Below are 6,858 nucleotides of genomic sequence, written 5' to 3'. Positions count from 1 at the left end.
TGGTTGATGCTGGCTGCTAGCTGGGGCCTCAGCTGGGGCTCTGGGCCAGAACACTTTCATGTGGCCTCTCCATGTGGCCTGGGATTCCTCACAGCATGGCAACCTCAGATTTGGCAGCCAGGATGCCAAAGGCAACACTCCAGCAGACAAAGCAGAAGCTGTTTCATCCTTTATCACTTAGCCTTGAAAGTCACATGGTGTCACTTCCACTGTAGTCACGGGCCCACCCAGTTTCAAGGGCAGAGAACACAGACCCCACAATGTGACTTGGAGTGTCCAAGTCACATTGTAAGATGAGCATCTGGGATATGGGGGAGCCTCTTGCTGTCATCTTTGGAAAATGCAATCTGCCATTCTCTTGGTAGCCACGTCCTCTGCAAGAACAAGGCCAACTGCCTCAGGGAGAGGGTATGGAGAGAGGATCTGGCAGGTGTGTGGTCCCCTGTGCCAATACCTGAGGCCCCGGCTCCCAGACTCATTCCTCAGATTTTAGAAGCTACCCCAGAACATTCCCAATCATCTGACCCAAAAGATTTGTTTTTTGCTTAAACAAGCTTAGGTGGGTTTCTAACACTTGCAATCATGAGTTCTGACTGAAAAAATAATTGTTGATTTTGAAACTGAGAAGATTTAATTCATTCATTCATTCAACAAATAGAAAGGAAATATATAACAAGGTAATGTGCTAAGAACTGGGGAAGGAGACAGCGCAATGAGTAAGATACAGCCCTAACCCACAGGGGGTTTGCAGGCTGTGTTAGTCTGCTTGGGCTGCCATAAGAAAATACCAGGCCAGACATGGTGGCTCACTCCTGTAATCCCAGCACTTTGGGAGGCCGAGGCCACTGGATCACTGGAGGACAGGAGTTCGAGACCAGCCTGGCCAACATGGTGAAACCTTGTCTCTACATACAAAAATTAGCCAGGCATGGTGGAATGTGCCTGTGTTCCCAGCTACTTGGGAGGCTGAGGCAGGAGAATCGCTTGAACCCAGGAGGCAGAGGTTGCAGTGAGCCGAGAGTGCACCACTGCTTGGATGACAGAGTGATACTCCATCTCAAAAAAGAAGAAAGAAAATGCCAGCCTCAGGGGCTTAAACAACAGACATTTATTTTCTCACGGTTCTGAAGGCTGGAAGTCCAAGATCAAGGTGTCAACAGAGTTGGTTTCACCTGAGGCCTCTCTCCTTGGCTTGCGGATGGCCACCTTCTCAGTGTATCTTCACATGGTCTTTCCTCTGTGCAGGCACCCCTCTGGCATCTCTCCTGTTTCCAAATTTTTTCCTCTTATAACGACACTAATCATATTGGATTAGGTCCAGCATTAACAGTCTCATTTTGACTTAATCACCTCTTTAAAGTCCCTGTCTCCAAATACAGTCACATTCTGAGGTTAGGGCCTTAACATATGATGTTTGGGGAGACCCAATACAGGGTTCAAACACTGGTAGCAGCATATAGCCATTCTTATTTCTCTGATAACCAGCCAGGAGCCACAGGCTATTAGGGATGATAATTACAGGTGACTGGAGTATCGTTCAACAAATATTCACTCCTCCTCCCCTCCCTCTTGGTGTGTCTCCCTGACCCATTGACTTTGGGCTTGACTGAGTGACTTGCTCTACCCGATGGAACATGAGTAGGTGCATTACCAGCACAGGCTATACATATGCTTGCACAGTTTGGCCTCCTTTTTGCTTTCCATTGATCTTCCAGAAGAAAAGAATGGTCCAGGAAGCTGCTGATCCAAGGCGAAGGATGGAACACGTGGAGAAGATGTGGACTCAAGCCACAGAGTGCAGCCAAACTCAGCTGAGAGCAACGGAACCCCAGCTGACCTTCACATCAAGGAGCATGAAATCCAAGCTTGAAGTCACTGAGTTTTGGTGTGTTTAAAACTTTTGTTATGCAGCATTATTGCAGTAATAGCTAACTAATTTAATAAGTAATAAAATAAATGACGAGGACCGGGCGCAGTGGCTCACGTGTGTAATCCCAGCACTTTGGGAGGCCGAGGCGGACAGATCACTTGATGTCAGGAATTCGAGACCAGCCTGGGCAACATGGTGAAACCCCGTCTCTACTAAAAATACAAAAATTAGCCGGGCGTGGTGGCGCACGCCTATAATCCCAGCTACTCGGGTGGCTGAGGCAGGAGAATAGCTTGAACCCAGAAGGCGGAGGTTGCAATGAGCCAAGATCGTGCCACTACACTCCAGCCTGGGCAACAGAGACAGACTCTCTCTCAAAAAAATAAAAATAAAAATAAAGGGAAAAATAACCATACCATATAGGCAAAAAGCTTTTTTCTACATGCGGAATTGTATTTTACCAAAGATTTTAAATAGATAGAATTCCTTTTTTTCTAATGGTTTAACAGACGAGCCATAAATTATTTTGATTCTCTAACATATTTGACAGGGAAGGGAAGTTTTTCCCAAGCACATTGCATATGTTTTTACTCTCAAGAGGATTATTACTATTCCTAAATCAGCAGCATCATGCTAAGTGCTGACCTGGGATCCCAGGAAGTGCAGTTCATGCCCAGAAACCTTAATACTAGAGTCACCCGAGGACCATCAGGCACATGAGGTCATGCGCTAAGAATTTTTTAAATATGTGAAACAATCTGGACTAATGGTGTGATTATGCTGGTGATTAAAAGCCCCGGTTCACATATCGTCAATCTCAGGTATGAGTCCATACATATTTCCAAACTGAAATTTCTCAAAACTTGTGTAGCTCTGGGATGTCCAGTTTCTCATTTCTAATCCCATGAATCTGCTCCCCAAATCAGAGGTGTGTCTTACACCCAACAGGGTTCAAACACTGGTAGCGGCATTTAGCCATTCTTATTTTTCTGATAACCTGCCAGGATCTAAGATTTATAATCAACTGCATGGTATTTTGAACATTAGTTGAAATTACACTTTATATGGTCTCTAGATCATCTATTTTATTTCATTTGGGTTCACCCGTTTCCATTGCATCTATAAGCAAAGGTCACGACCTCTTTTGAAAAGGCCTCATTGGAAGAGAAAATAGCAAGTCTACGTGTTGAAGTAAAAGAATTTGGTTCATAAAATAAAACTAAGGCGACAGAAGGCAAAGGGAGTTTCCGCTGTTTGAAAAGGGGCTTTCTCAGCACAAGCTTGGAAAAAAATGTTGATGATTTATGCAAATTAGAGAGGAAATGTGCCCCGAGGGATCTTGGCACAGAAGCTCAAGTTGGAATTCTGGATTCGAGGCTGCCTGTGTCTCTGATTCACTCTGTGACTGGGGCTGAGCCATTTAACCTCTCTGTTTCTAAATACCCTCATCTATAAATGCAGGCTAACAATGCTGTTCTTCCTGCCCCTGAAGGGGAGGCAGTAAAAATGAACGAAATGTCGGGGAATTACTTCTAAGAGCCATCGATTAGTAAGAGAGCATATGGTCTTAATGAGAGCTTGTTTCTACCACAAATTTTTCCCTGCTCCGTATGATCACTACAGCTAGAGAGCTGCAGAAATCAACCTCTCTCTTCAGCTCTCTTCACATGCCGCTCTTAAAATCACAGAGGTCTTTAAAACAGAACTCCTGCCTGCTCTGGGTGTGTATTACGAGGCCGTGGCTCCTGGCTCTCTTCTACACAGAGCCACGCAGCCCAGATTTGTCGAGACGGTGGGGATTTAAAATATTCTGTCCCATTGTCAGACCATGTGTTGGAACATGTGTCAGATCACGTGTCTTGATCATTGCTTCAGAAAATATGGTCGCTCACACCTTCATGAGAAGGGAAGCACCTGCTTGCTGCCTAAAGTCCTCTTTGGAAATGGATGGGAATAAGCAATAAAGCTGTAGCGAGACCAGTTGATGGATTGAGAAGCAGATCTGTAAATGCGGAGTGGGGAGGAAGAATGCTCATTTGACTCAACCATTACTGTGTGCCATGGTGGGGTGGGGCCGCTTATCTACTTATTAAGTAGCTACACTGGGTTAAACACCGAGGATACAGAAGATTATAGGACAAGGTTCCTGGTACAGAAAGTAATAGACATTATCCCTGGCCTCAGCAGCTTGCAATCTAGTGGAAGAGAAAGATGGGTAACAGCTGACAAGCTGAGAGCATGATTTTGTGCTGTAATGAGAGAAAGGACAAGCAGGAACTCCAGGAGGGCTTCACAGAGGTGATGACACTGTAACTGAGGATCAAAGGATAAGCAGGAGATCGGCAAGGGGATTAAGAAGGAGTAGGCGGCCAGGCTCGGTGGCACACACCTGTGATCCTAGCACTTTGGGAAGCTGAAGCGGGCGGATCACTTGAGCCCAGGAGTTTGAGACCAGCCTGGACAACATGATGAAACCCGGTTTCTACAAAAAAAAAAAAAAAAAAAAATAGCCAGGCATGATGCTGTGCGCCTGTAGTCCTAGCTACTCTGGAGGATGAGGTGGGAGGGTCGCTTGAACTTGGGAGGTTGAGGCTGCAGTGAGCCGAGATTGCGCCACTGCACTCCAGCCTGGGTGACAGAGCGAGACCCTGTCTAAAAAAAATAAAAAATAAAGGAGTAGGTTGCTGGGCACGGTGCCTCACTCCTGTAATGCCAGCACTTTGGGTGTTTGGGGGACCGAGGTGGAAGGATTGCTTGAGCCCAGGAGTTGGAGAGCAGCCTGGGTAACACAGCAAAACCCCGTCTTTACAAAAAATTTTAAAAAATTGGCCAGGCATGTTGGTGTGAGCCTATAGTCCCACCTACTCAGGAGGTTGAGATGGGAGGATTGCTTGAGCCAGGGAGTTCAAGGCTGCAGTGGGCCATCATCATGCCAATGAACTCCAGCTTGGGTGACAGGGCAAGATCCTGTCTCAAAAAAAGAAAAAAAAAAAAAAAGGAGCAGGCATTCCAAGCAGAGTGAATAGCCTGTGCAAAGCCCTTGAAGCGATCCATGGTGCCCACCCATTTCCCTCCATCCACTCTGGAAGCCACTTGGAAAGACTTCCCAAGTACAATGAGGACTTCCTGCCACTCCACCTGAGGATGTTCTCTTGGCTCAGAAGCATGCTCAGCTAGACACTGTGTGTGGGGGCAGATCCTAAGTGCTCAGCTTCCCAGAGATAACCCTTAACTCATGAGGAATGAGGGCAGTGGTGTGCTGGGGCAGCAGTACTAGCTCTGGAGAGCCGGATTGTTAAATATTTGGAAAATTTGCCAGCCAACTGCTAAAACTGAGAGCCTGGAATCAGCCCTAGTAGGAATATTTATACCATGACAATCGGCAAACACTACAAATTGGGACTTTTTAAATTCTACCAGAAAGCTGGTTTACTAGCACACCCCTGTGTGGGAGTTGGTGGATAAATACTCCTGCTTCCTCACCCCTTGCTGGGACAGTCCTAAAGGATGTGCTACACAGGACCCCAGAAGGTCACCGGCAGGATTGAACCCCAATTGCCCATATAGGTAACCTGTTCACGAATGCACCCTTTACTGGCCTTCCTCCCTGCCCTGTCTCAATTCCCATGCCCTCACTGTGATTCCTGGGATCATCTTACTTATGCTCAAAAACCCTTGGCTCAGAATCAGCTTGTAGAGGTACCCAAATTAAGACAGGCATGGGGCCGGGCACGGTGGCTCACGCCTGTAATCCCAGCACTTTGGGAGGCCGAGGCAGGCAGATCATGAGGTCAGGAGATGGAGACCAACCTGGCTAACATGGTGAAACCCCATCTCTACTAAGAATACAAAAAATTAACCAGGCGTGGTGGTGGATGCCTATAGTCCCAGCTACTCAGGAGGCTGAGGCAAGAGAATGGCGTGAACCCAGGAGGTGGAGCTTGCAGTGAGCCGAGATCGCGCCACTGCACTCCAGCCTGGACGACAGAGCAAGACTCCATCTCAAAAAAAAAAAAAAAAAAAGACAGGCATGGAAGTGAGAACATGGCACATTAGCAGCGAGCAGCAGACTGATCACGGGGGCTATAAGACCACTGCACAGGCTGGGTGCGGTGGCTCACACCTGCAATCCCAGCACTTTGGGAGGCCGAGGTGGGCAGATCACGAGGTCAGGAGATCGAGACCATCCTGGATAACATGGTGAAACCCCGTCTCTACTAAAAATACAAAAAATTAGCTGGGCGTGGTGGCGGGCACCTGTAGTCCCAGCTACTCAGGAGGCTGAGGCAGGAGAATGACGTGAACCCGGGAGGCGGAGCTTGCAGTGAGCCAAGATCGTGCCACTGCACTCCAGCCTGGGTGACAGAGCAAGACTCCGTCTCAAAAAAAAGCCAGGTGCGGTGGCTCACACCTGTAATCCCAACACTTTGGGAGGCCGAGGCGGGCAGATCACTAGGTCAGGAAATCGAGACCATCCTGGCTATCACGGTGGAACCTCGTCTCTACTAAAAATAAAAAAATTAGCCGGGCGTGGTGGCTGGTGCCTGTAGTCCCAGCTATTCGGGAGGCTGAGGCAGGAAAATGGTGTGAACCCAGGAGGCGGAGCTTGCAGTGAGCCGAGATTGCACCACTGCACTCCAGCGTGGGCGACAGAGCAAGACTCTGTCTCAAAAAAAAAAAAAAAACCACCGCACAGAGGATGCTAAACTTAGTCAAGGTGTCTCAAGGTCTTGAAAGAATTTAAACAGGGAAAGGATGGCAAGATCAGCTGTGCATTTTAGGAAGCTCACCCTGGGGGCTGTGTGACAGATGGATGCAAAGGGAACAAGACTGGAGGTAGGAGAGCTGAAGACTAGGTCAGTGAGAGTCCAAGGAAGAAATGATGAAGGTGTCAGACAACCACAGGAGGTGCTATCCACACAGAACATGATGGAGCTGTGCTTGACACAGCACTGCTTGTGGACCGAACCCTAAGCATGCCTGACACT

This window comes from Homo sapiens, chromosome X, assembly GCF_000001405.40.
Source record: "Homo sapiens chromosome X, GRCh38.p14 Primary Assembly".
Lineage (NCBI taxonomy): Eukaryota > Metazoa > Chordata > Mammalia > Primates > Hominidae > Homo > Homo sapiens.
Note: the sequence above shows the minus strand (reverse complement) of the source record.